At 39.8% G+C, this 15,614-nt stretch overlaps 1 protein-coding gene across 13 annotated transcripts in view; it reads left to right on the plus strand.

Moving 5' to 3' along the window:
* MTUS2 (microtubule associated scaffold protein 2) overlaps nt 1–15,614 on the plus strand; it is a 685,985-nt gene that overhangs the window by 240,900 nt on the left and 429,471 nt on the right. For 5 of the 13 annotated variants that reach the window (XM_047430227.1, XM_011535019.4, XM_047430228.1 and 2 more), the window contains one exon: nt 12,953–13,012. The exons of the other annotated variants lie outside the window; for them this stretch is intronic. In XM_047430227.1, coding sequence (XP_047286183.1) covers nt 12,953–13,012 — 60 coding nt within the window. The remainder of the gene's footprint in view (nt 1–12,952; nt 13,013–15,614) is intronic. 13 annotated transcript variants of the gene reach the window in all.

Consider the following 15,614-nt stretch of genomic DNA (forward strand, 5'->3'; position numbering starts at 1 on the left):
TGATCTCGGCTCACTGCAAGCTCCGCTTCCTGGGTTCAGGTGATTCTCCTGCCTCAGCCTCCTGAGTAGCTGGGACTACATGTGCCCGCCACCACGCCTGGCTAATTTTTGTATTTTTAGTAGAGACAGGGTTTCACTATGTTGGCCAGGCTGGTCTCAAACTCCTGACCTCCAGTGATCAGCCTCCCAAAGTGCTGGGATTACCGACGTGAGCCACTGCGCCCAGCCATGTTTCTTCTTATTTCTAGTAATTTTGATTGGATGTTGGACATTGTGAATTTTATCTTGTTTGATACTGTATATTGTTCTATTTCCTTGAAGATTATTGAACTCATTCTGGCAGGTAGTTTAGTTACTTTTCAATTAGTTTGATTCTTTCAAGGCTTAAAGTTCTTTTAGAATATCTATAAAGTAACCTTTCTTCTAGAGCTGATTTCTGAAGTCTCTGTTGAGTACCTGTGTATTCAACAAGATGTCTCCATTTTGGCTGTAGTGAAGTGGAACCGTTATCAGCCTGTGTGAGTTCTGGGAATTGTTTATCTTACAGCTGCCTCATAGCTGTTCTTTCCTCAAAAGTTGTTCTTACTCAGTCTTTGGGGTTTTGTTAAATTATGCATGCAGATTGATATTCATCCAAAGGGTTAATGGGACTCTTATGCAGGTTTTTGGATATTTTGTGGGCATGTCTCCCTCCTCTCTGTCCCATACATTCTAGCTGCCTTGACCTCCCCAAACTTTGGTCTGTATCTTCAACTTACCATGATGGACAGCTTCTATTTGAGTTTCTCCATCCTGTGCTGTGGCCAGGAAACTTCCTCTAGGCAGAGAGATAGGGCAATGACTTGACACACCTTGTTTGTTTTCCTTCCCTGAGGATCATAGCCCTTTGCTGGCTATTGTATACTTTCTGAAAATGTTAGCTTCATATATTTTGTTTGTTTTTTAACTGTTTATGGCTATTTCCATATAAGTTAATTCTTCATGTGTGAACTTTCTCTTACATATTCATCAAAGGTTATTAGCATCAGATAGTTTTTGTTGTAGCTGAAAGAAACTAACTTTTGTGTTTATACTTTTAGTTCCAGGCTATTTTTTATGATTGTTTTACTTTGTTACTGTTTGAAGAATGCTTTATTTTTTGAGATAGGGTCTCCTTCTGTTGCTTAGACTTGAGTGCAATGATACGATCTTGGCTCACGCTAACCCCTGCCTCCAGGATTCAAGCAATTCTCGTGCCTCAGCCTCCCATGTAGCTGGGACCTCAGGTGCGCATCATCATGCCTGGCTAATTTTTGTATTTTTTGGTAGAGACGGGGTTTCACCATGTTGGGCAGGCTGGTCTTGAACTCCTGAATTCAAGAGACCCACCTGCCTCAGCCTCCCAAAGTGCTGGGATTACAGGCATGAGCCACCATGCCCAGCCTCAAGAATGCTTTAAAAACATGTTAGTATGTGGTTGTATGTGTATGTTTAACAGGTGTCACATACTCACCAGGTTAGGATTCTGTGTAGGTCTTTGGTGCGAATAACTTCTGTGAGAATAACTTTGGCTATTCTCATACCTTTATTTTACATGGTCACTCAAAGATCTAAGTACCATCACACTGGCAAATAAGAGCTGGAGACAGAAACAGCCCGTGATGCTGTGCCCTGAAATTTAGCATTTACATATTTCCAACCTCAAGTGATTTTCTTTGTTCTGAAACCTAAGACCTGGTTTGATATGTAAATTACACTCCATTTTTTTTTCAGTTCTCAGATAGGAAACCTCTTAGATTAATAACAGGCCAGTATGCTGTGACTTAGATATCGGGAATAATTTCTGGTGTTTCCCTCCTATGTTGATCCTGTAAGTATCACTAGGTTTACGGTGGTCTTAAAGCGGCCTAAAAGAACTGGACATGCAAGAAATACATGCTAGTCTACAATGAGGATCCTCCTAGTGTTTCTGTGTCATAAATGAATGATATTTCCTAAGACCCTTGAGTCTTAACAGATCTTGATGTGACTGTATCTTCTGGAGAATAAAAGAATCTGAGCACTTCATTACATCTTACATCATTTTCGTGTTTTTGAATCCAGTGTTCTTTGACTTCGTAACCATGCTTAAAACTTTGAGTTTGGACTGTCGTCAGGTCTGGGTATGAAACACAAGATCTTGTTTGAGTGCTCAAAATACAGCAGAACTATTACCTCCCTTTAGGTGAGCATGAAATTTTTATTAGTGAAACCTAAGATCGTGTATTTTAAAAATTTGTTGTTAGAATCCTCATTTCTAAGAAGTAAAAAGGCAGTACTTTTCTACACTGCCTTTTTAGTAGATTTTTATGTGTTTCATGTTCTTTCTTCAGAAAAACCTCCTTAATGGCCTAACACATTGTATAAAAATTGTTAACCTGTACAGTGTACAGAATGTCAGGATGTAATTTGTGCATATGGTAAATGCAACTAAAATAAATATACCCAGTTGTACCTGAAAGCATAATGTTTTTGTGTCAGACTATGCAACCTGAAAGAACTGTAATATTTTTTGATAGGAGCAGTTGAAGTGTCAGAATAGAAGTTTTTAAAGGAATAGATGAGAGTACTGCATTCTATAAATAACCAGAGAAATTCAATCGTGTAAGAAAAGTTGGGACAGTTCTTCTCAACATACATCCAGTTTTGTTATGAATTCTGCTTATTAAAATAAATTTTATTTTAGAGTTTGACATACTGTGTAAAGTTTCCTCTTTGGTCATTTTTTTAAATAGGATGAATCATACCAAGTTATAACATGAAGACCGTGAAATTATTAAAAAATCTTAAAGAGCAGGTAAACTTGATTGGAACAATCTAAACAAGCACAGTCTGGGCAGCCATGATAATGTTAGAAATTTATCAAAGTGTACACATCTGCTCAGTATTTCTGGTATAAGAATTCTGAAAATATGACAGTTTTTTTCTCCATGACTTTAGTCTCTTTGGTAGCAAAGCATATGGTAGTTCTCAATCTTCTGATTTGTATTAGATGACTAGTTTTAATTTTTAACAAATTTAAGCGGGTGCAGTGGATGTTAACATCAGATCCTATGGGTGCCCTTCAGACAGCAGGAGGGGCTTCTCCACCTCTTCACATTCTGGCAGAGCTCAGTGATAGAAAGCATGAGGCCTGGGGGCGCATTGATTCATTCTGTTAACCTGCTCCTAGCGCTGGCTCTGCACAGAGCACTGGGATGTGTTGTGGAAAAGTGTTATTAAAGGGGGAAGAATGTTAGCGGGCAGCTTATCCTGTATTAACGAGGGCTTCATAGAGTGGTAGCATGGGAACTGGGCCTGGAATAATTTATTAGATGGACTAAGTGAAACAGCGAGGTCCATGCGGAAGGAACATGGCAGAGGCATGGAGATTTGCAGCTTCTTTAGGAAACGGGCCAGTTTTATGGATAGATACAGAGTGTGTGGGTTGGTTGTCACTGAAAATAAAGCCAGATGGGTAGGTTGGGGCCAGATTGTGGGGGGATTTCAGCGCCAGTCTACGTTTGGAGGTTTTTTTTTTTTTTTTTTTTTTTTGACAGAATTGGGTATCTTTAGGTTTTAAAATAGAGAATTGACATAATTTTATATTTTGAAGAGACAGTTCTGAGCGGCACTGTGGATAAGTAATGTAGGGAGGCCAGTGAGGAAACTACTGTTGTAGTGTAAGCACAAGATAATAATGTTTTTACACATTGTCATATTTTCCAGATTTTTATAATGCTATATATTGCTTTTGTGATCACAATAAATTTTTTAAACTTTTATTTTAGGTTCGGGGTACATGTGCAGGTTGTTATATAGGTTAGCATGTGACAGGGGTTTCTTATACAGATTATTTTGTCACCCAGGTACTAAGCCTAATACCCTACCCAATAGATATTTTTTCTGCTCCTCCCCACCCATCCCTCACCCTCAGGCAGGCTCCAGTGTCTGCTTCTCTCTTTATGTCCATGAGTTCTAATCACTTAGCTGTCACTTGTAAGTGAGAACATGCAGTATTTGGTTTCTGTTGCTGTGTTAGTTTGCTAAGGAGAGTGACCTCTAGCTCCATCCATGTTCCTGCAAAGGATGTGATCTCATTCTTTTTTATGACTGCATGGTATTCCACGGTATGTATGTTCCACATTTTCCTTATTCTGTCTTCCACTGATGGGCATTTAGATTGATTCCATGTCTCTGCTGTTGTGAATAGTGCTACAGTGAACATATGCATGCATGTGTCTTTATGATAGAACAATTTATGTTCCTTTGAGTACATACCCAGTAATGAGATTGCTGGGTTGAATGGTAGTTCTGATTTTAGCTCTTTGAGGAATTGCCACACTGCTTTCCACAGTGGTTGAGCTAATTTACATTCTTACCAACAGTGTGTGTAAGTGTTCCTTTTTCGCCACAACCTTGCCAGCATCTCTTATTTTTTGACTTGTTAGTAATCGCCATTCTGACTGGTGTAAGATGGTATCTCATTGTGGTTTTGATTTGCATTTCTCTAATTGTGAGTGATATTGAGCTTTTTTTTCATAGCTTGTTGACCTCATGTATGCCTTCTTTTGAGAAGTGTCTGTTCATATCGTTTGCATGCTTTTTAATGGGGTTGTTTGTTGTTTTCTTATCAATTTGTTTCAGTTCCTTATAGATGCTAGATATTAGACCTTTGTCAGAGGCATAGTTTTCAAATATTTTCCCCTGTAAATTTGTCTATTTACCTGGGAAAAAATAAACAGACATAGTCTGTTGTCTGTTAACTCTGTTGTTAGTTTCTTTTGTGGGATTGCAGTAATTTTTAAGTTGACACTGTAGAACTCAGGAGGAGCAGATGGAGAGGCTGTGCAGTCTCCTAGTCAGTCCTGGTGCTCTGAGTCTCACCCCAGATTCTCTATTTATTACTTAATCTATACCTCTCTTAGCCTCACTTTCTTTATCTCTAAAAATGAGAATAATAGCAGAACATAAAGCACTTGATTGTTAAAAGTACTGAATGAAAGCTCTTAGAATAGGGCCTGGCATTCAGAATATAATCAACAAATTCAAACCCCCCCCCACCTGACATGCAAAGCCCCCTGGGTCAGGTTTCCTCCCGCTTCCTCCCTTGAGCCTGTTTGTGTCTCTTTCTGTCTTCTCACTACGCATAACCCACAGTGGCCTCGATTCAGTTCTTCAGGCATGCCACCCTCTTTCTGTCCTAAGGGCCTTTTATTTGCCACGTCTTCTAGAATGTACTTCAACTCTCTCCAAGGCTGGCTCTGTCTCCTCCTTTGGGTCTCAACATAAATGTCTCTGCCTCAGAGGGACAGGATGCCTTGATCACCCTCTCTCCAGTGACCTCTTCTCAGCCAGATGCTGTCTAACACACCCTGTGTTTTCTTCACTTTCTTTATTGTGATCTATAATTTTCTTATTTTGCTTTTACACATTTATTATCTCTCACCCCGCTGCAGCATATAGTCTGTGATAACAAAGGGATTTAAAACATCAAGATCTCTTGAATAAATGTTAATAATAGCAATGCAGTGGTAGTAGTTATTGTTATTTTTCCTATAATTATCAAGAAGTGATTAGGTCCTGAGATGTTTTGGAGCAGGGGTGGGTTTTGTTGTCTCTGTTGCAACTACTCACCTCCGATGTTATAGTGCAAAGGCAGCCACAGACAATATGTAAATGAATGACATGGCTGTGTTTCACTACAACTCTTTTTACAAAAACAGGTGGCTAGTCCATGGGCTGTAGTTTGCTGAATGATCGCTGTTTTAGAGAATCACCTTTGAGATGATCAGATTCATTCCTTTATTCATTCAGTGATTTTCTGAGGACCTATTATGGGCCAGATGCTGGTCTATGTATGTAGAAGGCACAGATTAAATGCATAGTCCATAACTTAATGGGTATATAAAGAGATAAATCAGTAATTCATTAGGAAGAGATGAATACTTGATGGAGACATGTGCAGAATGCACAGGAGGAGAGGAACCCACTAGGCTTGGGCAGAGATGTGCTCTGGAAAGTTTTCTAAGCCAAGTTGTGTTGGATTTTGAAGGAAAAATACAAGTTTGCCAGGCTGAGCATGGGCAAAGGTAGAATATAGATCTGTCAAGGAGGGAGGCTGTCAATTTGGGTTATTAGGATCCCTTAAAGGGGCCAGTTACTCAGTAGGGGAACACTGGGGTATGTTTTATAGGATTGGGGGTGGTGGAAGATAGTTGTTTGACACATGCAGAGTTTGAGGTTCCTAAGGGACATTTAGGTAGAAATTTCCAAAATGCTGAAATTGGAGCTAAGGAGAAGTCTGAGCCAAAGATACAATGTGGTGTCATTACCCCATGGATGTGAGTTGAAGCCATGGGAATAGATGAGCAGATTCAGAGAGAGGGGGGAGGATAGAGTAAGGAGATGATCAAGAAGGAAACTTTCCATCCATATTGAAGGGGTGAGGAGAGAAGCCAGCAAGAGACAGAACACTGTAGGGTGGGAGTGGGGAGACACCAGGAAAATGTAGTGTATGAGGCTAAGGAAGAGGGAGTTTCCAAGTAGAAAGTGGTCAAGACTGTCTCATAGACAAGAGGACCAGTAAAAATACAGAGAGGCTGTTGGGATTGGAAATTAGGAAGCAGTTGGTGACCTAGTTTTGAATGAGCAATTTTAGTAAAACGTGGGAGTGGAAGTCACATATTAATTAGTAGGTTGAGAAGTGAATGGAAAGTGGGGAAGTAGAAGCAATGAGAATAGACGGCTGTTTCTAAAAATGTGCTGATGGATAAAAGAGCCACGGGTGCTGACTGGAGGGGGAAGAAGAGTTGAGTTTCATTTTATGTTTCAGAGCATGGTGGGAGAGATTGGAAGGAATGTGAAATAGAAGTGCTACAGTGGCCTGTGGAGAGAAGTTGGTGAAAGGTATGGGGGTGATAACTGTTAGACAAGGCCCTCCAGAGAACAGGAAATGAGGGATTGAGGTCACATGCAGAAGGGTGGATCCTGGAATGTAAGTGGAACACTGATTCTTCTAAGACCAAAGAGGGAAAAAATAGGTGAAAAACAGAGTGGGCAAAGATTCCTGTGAGAAGAATAAAAACAATTAATTGATTGGCATCACCTCAGTGCCACTTCACTATTTTTTACCACTGTTTTACTTAATTTTACAACTATACTTTCTACCAAGGAAGTTTAAATCAAATGGGAAAATATCCCCATAAGACAAACTAGTGAATTACTGAGATGGTGTAAAAGAGAAGATGGTCTTATTATAATTCCTTTGGGTCTTAATGATACCATTGACCTTGGAACTTATCTTGGAGGCTGCAAAAGAACCATTCAATTTGTTCTGATATTTAGTATATATCACAGTGTTACCCATTTCTACATATTATTGAAATGGACATTGGCAATGCCTGTATTTTCACTGTGCATTCAACAAACAAAATTGTCCTATCTTTGGCTTACTTTCATTGCAACTCAGCATGCCTAGTAATGTCCTGAAGAAACATTAAAAATCCAAGTTTCCTCCGTCTACACCCAGAGAGTCAGCTTCAGTGGCTCTGGAGTGTGAAGCACAGGTGTAATAAATATTTCTCAATTTATTTGGAGAAACACTATCTTTAATCAGTATTTACTGAGCACCTACTGTGCATCAGATATCCTCAGGCACTGAAGACAGAACCATAAACCAGATAGAAGAGGTTCCACAGTCAATTATGATACCATGTAATTGACTGTTGTGAGGCAGAGTGTCTGAGATCAGAACATTGGAGATGAATTCAACCCCCAGTTGAAGTCCAGGAAGTTTATCAGGTATAGTGTAGTACGAAGGGCAAAGGATTTGAGGTGTGAGGGTGAGGAAATGGCAGGAAAGGAAGAAAGGGTGCTTCAGACAGAGGGAATGGTATATGTAAAGATTGGCACAGGTAGATTGTAGAGTGTCAGGGGAAAGATGAGAAAAGGGACTGGAGAAGATTGTGACACCACTGTGAGCTGCTGAGGAGTTTGCCTTTTATCCTAAGAGCAAGATGGTGCCATTGTAGGGTTTAAGCAAGGGATTGATACGATCCTCCTTCTTTTTTAGAAACTTTAGTTGGACTGAAGTTTGGAAGACAGGAGTGGAGTAGGGTAGGGTAGGAAGGATTGGACATAAAGAGACCCCTTAGGAGGCTGTTGCAGAATACCAGAAAGGACAGCCCAACTTAGGTAGTGGGAGGGTAGGGGATGGAGAGAAGTAGATGGGTTTAAGGAGGTGGATTTAATTAAATTCCTTTATTAGTCAGGGTTTTTCAGAGAAGCAGAACCAATATGAAATAAGAGATTTAATGTAAAATATTGGCCTATATGGTTATGGAGGCTGAGAAGTCCCATGATCTGCTGTCTGCAAGGTGGAGACCCAGGAAAGCTAGTGTTTCAGTTTGAAGACCTGGGAGCCTGAGAGCCAATGGTATAGATTCCAGTCTGAGTCTGCAGCCTGAGAACCAGGAACATCAAAGGCAGGAAAAGATTGATGTCCTAGTTCAATCCGTCAGGTTGGGCAGAGTGTGAATGTAACCTTCGTCTACCTTTTTGCTCTTTTCAGATTGTCAACAAATTGGATGGTACCCACCCACATTGGGGAAGGCCATCTGCTTTCCTCAGTCAACCAATTCAAATGCTAATATCTTCTAAAAACACCCTCACAGACACACCAGAAATAATGTTTAACCAGATATCTGAGTATCCCATGTCCTACTCAAGGTGACACATAAAATTAACTATGACACCTCCTGACACTGTGAGCCACATTCACATAAGAATAATTTGAAAGGGAAAAGAATTAAGGAAGAAAAAGCAAGGAAAAGCAGCTCTAGCTCAACTCTACTGGCAAAAATCCATAACTAATTCGAAGAGATTTAGCTGAAGCGTATGGCCCTTGCAATGACCTGATTCGTCTGTAATTGTGTTTGTTTTTTAAAATGGATAGTAAAGATGAGGATGAATAATTTGGATTTTTTTTGTCCTGTTACTTTTGACCTTTGGTTGATATAAAATCTCAAAGTATCTGTCCTGTTTATCATTGTATATGAGCTCCTAGCACAAAGCTTTCTTCTGGATTTTATAACAAAAAGGGGATGTATCCTATTTTCTACACTCTTCCCTTCATTATTCCAAAACCATATAAAAATCATGACTTCAAAGCATAGGCTGAGAAGGTGGACAGTACTGAGTGATTTGGGTAGATGGAATCTCATGCTGGAGAGAGGGGATGGAATCATGCAATAAATATTTACTGGACACCAGCTGTGCTGGGCTTTCTATCTCGGGATGGCTTTTCCTGTTTCTCCTGGTGCCTGCCTCTGAAATTTTCAATTCTGCTCTTTGTTTACCTTCTCAAATGTTCCTCTGGAACCTCTACTCACCTTTCTCTTGAGGGTTAATCCATGTGTTTCTCCTCTCTGGTTTACTTATTTATTTTGCTGGAGTACATCCTTGGTAATTTCCTAAGAGAGAGTTCAAAGAAAGCAAACTTGCAGAATGTTAATATTTTTGAAATCATCTGTAGTCTGCATTTACTAGATTAAAAATCATTTTCTAGGTTGAAAAGAGTTTTCAACTATAGAGACTTCCAGTGTTGTTCAAGAGAAACGGTAACACCAGTTGGGTAAATATTCTTTTGTAGGTGATCTGATTTCTTTTTTTTCCTCCTTGAAAGCTTTAGAATCTTCTCTCATCCCTGGTGTTTTAAAACTTTTTAGTGGCATTTGTGTGTGGATGTGTGTATATGCTCGTGAGAATGTGTGTCAGAGAGAGAGAGAGGTTTATGTTGCTAAGGATTTGTTAAACTGTTTGAAACTTGTCTCTCTGTTTGAAACTTGTCTCTCCCTTCAGCTCTGGGCAATCATCTTGTGTTCTTGTTAGTTTCTACCTCTCTGTTTTCTCTTTCTTTCTGGAATTTCTGTTATTTGCTTTTGGACTTCATAAAGTGATTACCTGTATCATTACCTTTTTCTGGTGTGATTTCTCTTACCTTATGTTTTCCTTCTGCATTTTAGACAATCTTACTTGACTTAATTTTCTAACCCTTCAGTTGAATTTTTGTTTTGGTATTTTTAATTTCTAAGAATGCCTTCTTGGCTTCTGATTGCTTGTTTTTTTTTTTGGTTTTTGTTTATTTATTGATTTATTTTTTTGAGACAGAGTCTCATTCTGTCGCCCAGGCTGGAGTGTAGTGGTGCTATCTCGGTTCACTGCAACCTCTGCCTCCCGGGTTCAAGCGATTCTCCTGCCTCAGCCTCCTGAGTAGCTGGGACTACAGGTGTGCGCCACTATGCCTGGCTAATTTTTTTTTTAGTAGAGATGGGGTTTCACCATGTTGGTCAGGCTGGTCTCCAACTCCTGACCTCGTGATCCTCCCACCTCAGCCTCCCAAAGTGCTGGGATTACAGGTGTGAGCCACCGTGCCCAGCATCTTGCTTGTTTTTATAGCACATTGTTCTTTATTTTATTGTTGCAATATCTTCCCAAATTTCTCTGAGGATACTAATTAGATTTTTTAAAAGATCTCTATGTTGCTTGAATTTTTTTTTTTTTTTTTTTTTTTTTTTTTTTTTTGAGACAGAGTCTCCCTCTGTTGCCCAGGCTGGAGTAAAATTGGCATGATCTGGGCTCACTGCAACCTCTGCCTCCCGGGTTCAAGTGATTCTACTGCCTCAGCCTCCTGAGTAGCTGGGATTACAGGTGCGTGCCACCATGCCCGGCTAATTTTTGGTATTTTTATTAGAGACGGGGTTTCACCATGTTGGTCAGGCTGGTCTCGAACTCCTGACTTCATGATCCGCCCGCTTTGGCCTCCCAAAGTGCTGGGATTACAGCTTGAATTCTCTTTATATTCTTCAGGGCAGTTTTTCTTTGCTTTTTATTTGTTTTATGCTGGAAGATTTTCTCAAATTCTTTGTGATCTTTTATTATTGAGTTGGATGAGCTTGAGTTAATTTGTTCAAATTCTTCAGAAGTCTGTTTCCTCCAACTCCGAGGTGTGGCAGGGGGTGGGAGTAAGAGGAAAATGTATGCGTACTGGGTGCTTACCCTATGCCCAGAAGAGGAGATGGTGGGTGGGGGTATATAGTTCCTGCCTCATTTCTCAGCCCATTTCTTCCTCCATCTTCCCTTGGATCTGTATCTTGGAGTTTCTGGGCCTCCAGGCTGGTAGGTCAGCAGGTTCTTCTTCTACTGCAGCATTGCTGTCTCATCTGCTGCAGGCTGTGCATCTCTTCCTCTGTTCATCAGTTTAGGGCCTCCATCTGTGTCCTGTTTCCAGAAATTGTGACATATCTAGCTCAGTAAGTACTTGTCTCTTTTCTCTTTTTTTGATCTAGGTTTAAATATGCAGAGTGCTTAATAGAAAGCACTCAGTAAATGTTGGTTGTTATTTTTAATTCTACCTCTTACAATTGAATTACTCTCATTTTCAAGCATCTTTGATTAGAGAGGATAAAAATACCTGTATTCTGTCTCATCTTGTGCTGGCAGTCTCGCCAAAATCTAGTCAACAAAACATTGACTAGATTCTCTTAAATCCAGTCAATGTTGTTGACCAGCATCTCTGAGGGTGCTTTGCAGTATTGTAAAATGAGGGCATTTCAACTGTATTGTAAAAACATTATGAAAATGCGTTTTAAGGGCACTCCATAGAAAAGACTTCTTATGTCATCATACTACAGTTTTCTGAGTTGTTTCCTTAGCAAATAGAATACCTGCTTTAATTTTACTTCCATTTTGAAATGCTAAAGCCACTGATCAGAAAACATGATTCAACTGAATTTGCTCACAAAAAATATTGTTTCTTTTAATTTGCTTTTGGACCTCTGATGTTTCTCCTGAAAATCACTGTTATGAAGGATCCAGGGGCTTTAGCAATCCATATTTATAACATAACAGTTGAGTAGCATTAGTAGATTTAGAATCAGTTAAAAATCATTGACCAACTCTTCTAATTCTGAAAGATATTAGTACAAGGTCACTCAGTATTTGACGTATCTTTTCAAACAGTGTCTATTTATAAGCAGATCTGTCCAGCAACAAAGCCTGACATTTGCAGCATTTATATATGACTTGTACCTTACCTTTTGCTAATTTCCTTCTGTTGGTAGCACTTTGTCATGTTCATTCCACAATCCTTCACTTTCCATTTCCCTTCTATGACATTGGGTTAACTCTCTCTGGTGGTCGTTTTATTCTAATCCGGTGGAAAAGATGTCACTAGATATTTGTGAATGTCTGGGTTATATGCAGTCACTTTCAATGATACAACACGACCCAAACAGAAGTGCAAATGCAGACACTCAGGTCTTTGGATTATTCTAATAACCCAAAAATGCTTAACCTCAATTTCTTAGGTTGTTGAAAGAAAGTCACCTCAAGATTTGAACCTCAATTAAAAACACACTGCATGAATAGGTTTATTTGGTTTTATAGTTTCTTGCTCAGTTAGCCTCGTGTTTTGTATTTACCTTCAACCAATCTCTTCACAACTCCAAAAACATTAACAAAATAGAACAAAACAAACAACTTTGACTAGTTTCTCTTTCTGGCCTGGATATTAAATAATGCCAGGGAACCACAACTATCTGATGAGTCTTTCTATTATTGCTCATAATTCCCAGGTTGTGTACACATGTGTAATGAGGTTAGTGAAAGGCGGGTGTGTGTGTGTGTTTGGGGGTGGGGGGTTACCCTTTACCTTTTGCTACATAGATTTTTAAAATCAAAAGCATGAGGTCTAAGCTTTCCTCCATCTGTTTACAGCCTTGCCTGTGCAGGCACCATGTGTACATCTTGCCCTTCTTCATTATTCACCTTTCTGGGGCTCACTTTGCTGATCACGGGGAGTAACCCTACAGGCTGACCACTCTGTAGGAGAGCCTCCCATAGAGCTTTTCAGACCAAAGTTTCCTAAAGTCCCTACAAATGATTGTATTTTCAGGTGTGCATGCTCTCAGTGGGACATGGTTTAACTACAGTGGTTCCCTTGGAGATCTTTCAGGTATGTAGACCTTTTCTCATTCCTATAACAAAGAGGATTACTCTTTGCTCACCCCCAAGCCTCTCAACTAATCATTCAGCAAGACCTGCGAATTCTGTAACTTAATCCATCCGCTCAGCCCCGTTCCTGCTCTCAGAACACCAGGATTTCTCTCTTTATTGGCTGCCTCCCAACTGATTTCCCTGTCTTCAGCCTTGCCCCTCTCCAGCCCATCTTCCACATAGCAAATCATACCCAGTTCTCCCTCCTTTAAAATTCTTTGTTGGCTCCACATTGCTGTCAGAAGAAGGGCCAGACACCTTAATGTCAAGCAAGACTCTTCCAGCTGACCTCTGCAGTTTCTGCTCCCCTAAAATGCCCTATTTCTTCTATAGTCCTAACTTGACTAGCTCCTTTTTATCCTTTATGACTCAGGTCAAGTTTACCTCCTCCAGTAACCTATTCCTTGCTTAGTCCGGGTGGTGCTAGGGATCCCCTCTCCTGTGTGCTCCCACAGCTCTGGGTCCATGCCTCCGTCATGCCACTTAGCACCCTTTAGTGTCATTTTTCTGCACATGTGTGTCTGATAGCAGGAACTGTGCGTCATTTTTTAAAATTATTTCATAAGAGCTGTCATGGCACGCGGTGTACATTCAATGATTATTTCTCAAACTCAGCTGAACTGAGTGAAGGCAGAGGATATGTCTTCACTGTTCTCTTCCTTCTCCTACTTCTTCAGCTTTACTGTCCCTGAGGTAATTTTCATTTTCTAAGCTTCTGTGCTCCTCTCAAGTGACTGCAATACTGACACTACGAGTGCTTCTATTTTAGTCACCTATCTCCTGGGTTGAGAGGGGCTGATCTTGTTCCCAGTTTTCTGTATCTTTGATCTTACTTCTTTATTTTCCTTTCCCGGAACTAGTTAACTAGCTAGCTAGCTCTAGGGCTCTCTCAGTGTCTGTCTCTGACTTTCTGTCTCTCTTAAACCACAGTTTTATTGAGATATAATTCACATATTTCACTATATATTTCCACCATTTAAAGCATAAATTCAAATATTTTAATCCTATCCACAGAGTTGTGCAACCATCACTACAGTAATTTGAGAACATTTCATCACCCTAAAAAGAAACTTATCAATATACTGTCGCTCCAGATTTCTCAAGCCCCAGCCCCTGGCAACTACTAATCTACTTTCTGTCTCTATACATTTGCCTATTCTAGACATCTTATATGATGGAGTTATACAATCTGTGTGACCTTTTATGTCTGGCTTCTTTCACTTGCCTTAATGTTTTCAAGGTTCATCCAGTTTACACCATATATCAGCATTTCATTCCTGTGTTAATCTACTCAGGCTGCCCCCTCCCATTTGTAAAAGAGACACAACGGGAGGCACACAGGGTTCACTATCCCAGAGCAGCTCTGAACACACGTTGGTACGGCTAAGTTGTTCCACTGTCTAAGTGATTTTTCATGGCTCTGGACTCTACCATCTGGACTTTTGATTCTGCCCTCTTTGTCTACTTTCCTTTTTTATAAAAGTTTTGAATCCTAAGAGTGTTCTTAGCCTGTTTTCTGCCTGCAGAAGTTTGGTTGTCTCAAGATCTCCTTTCAGTTAGTATTATCTCTGACTGTTTTAGTCTAAGCTGACTGTTTCTGCTAATATAATTATCTTAAAAAGTTTGTGAGTCTGCTATGAATATTACTGGATTCACTCCATTAGATAAAAGCCACATCAAAAAAATCACTTCAAAATAAAGCCTTTCTCTACCTTGGGCTTCCACTGAGGTTACTGAGGGACAACAACTTTATGTTTCCTAGAATCCTATTGATTACCAGTCATTTAAGACACTGCCTTAGATTTTTCTGGTCTTAACCCAAGGATTTTAGTCACACCTTTAGCTTCACCATTAGACCATATTTTCCTGTTAGTGTCTGAACAGGATCATTGCCTAGAAGTCATTTCTTAATTTTGGTATTATTTACCATCTGGAGAGGCTTGGACTTTTCAAACCTCTAACAAGTCCTACCTCCTTTACATTTAGCAATTGGTTTATATTGAAGTCTTTAGCTTATCCTTCTACTCTTACACTTTACCAGAAGAGTGAGAAGAAGATAGGTAGCATCTTCAAAACTCTACCTGGAAATCTGGAAATCTCCTTAGCTAGATTTTTAAGTTCATAAGTTACAATCTATACGTTTCGTATTATAGAAGGTAACATTGTTGCTCAATTTTCTGCTATTCATTAACAAGAATTCACTTCCCATTAGTTTCCTCAGCTTCCTTTAAGCCTTCACTGACAGCTTCTTCATAAAGCTTCTTCTGGAAGTCTCTTTGAAGCTCCTTAGGCTTTCAGTAATGCTTTCCTCAAGTTCCTTACAGCTTCCACTCATTGCCTGGCTTCAAAGCCACTCTTACAGGATAAGTTTTTTATTATGGTATTAATAGCACCCTCTTCCAAGTACCAAAATCTGCATTAGTTATATGTTGCTAAATAACAAATCACTCTAACGCTTAGATGCTGAAAACTGCAACAATTATTTATGATCTAATGGTTTCTGTGGGTCAGAAATTTGAGAACAGCTTGGCTGAGTGATCCAGTCTTGGAGCCTCTCATGA

This window comes from Homo sapiens, chromosome 13 (assembly GCF_000001405.40).
Source record: "Homo sapiens chromosome 13, GRCh38.p14 Primary Assembly".
NCBI classification, from domain to species: Eukaryota; Metazoa; Chordata; class Mammalia; order Primates; family Hominidae; genus Homo; species Homo sapiens.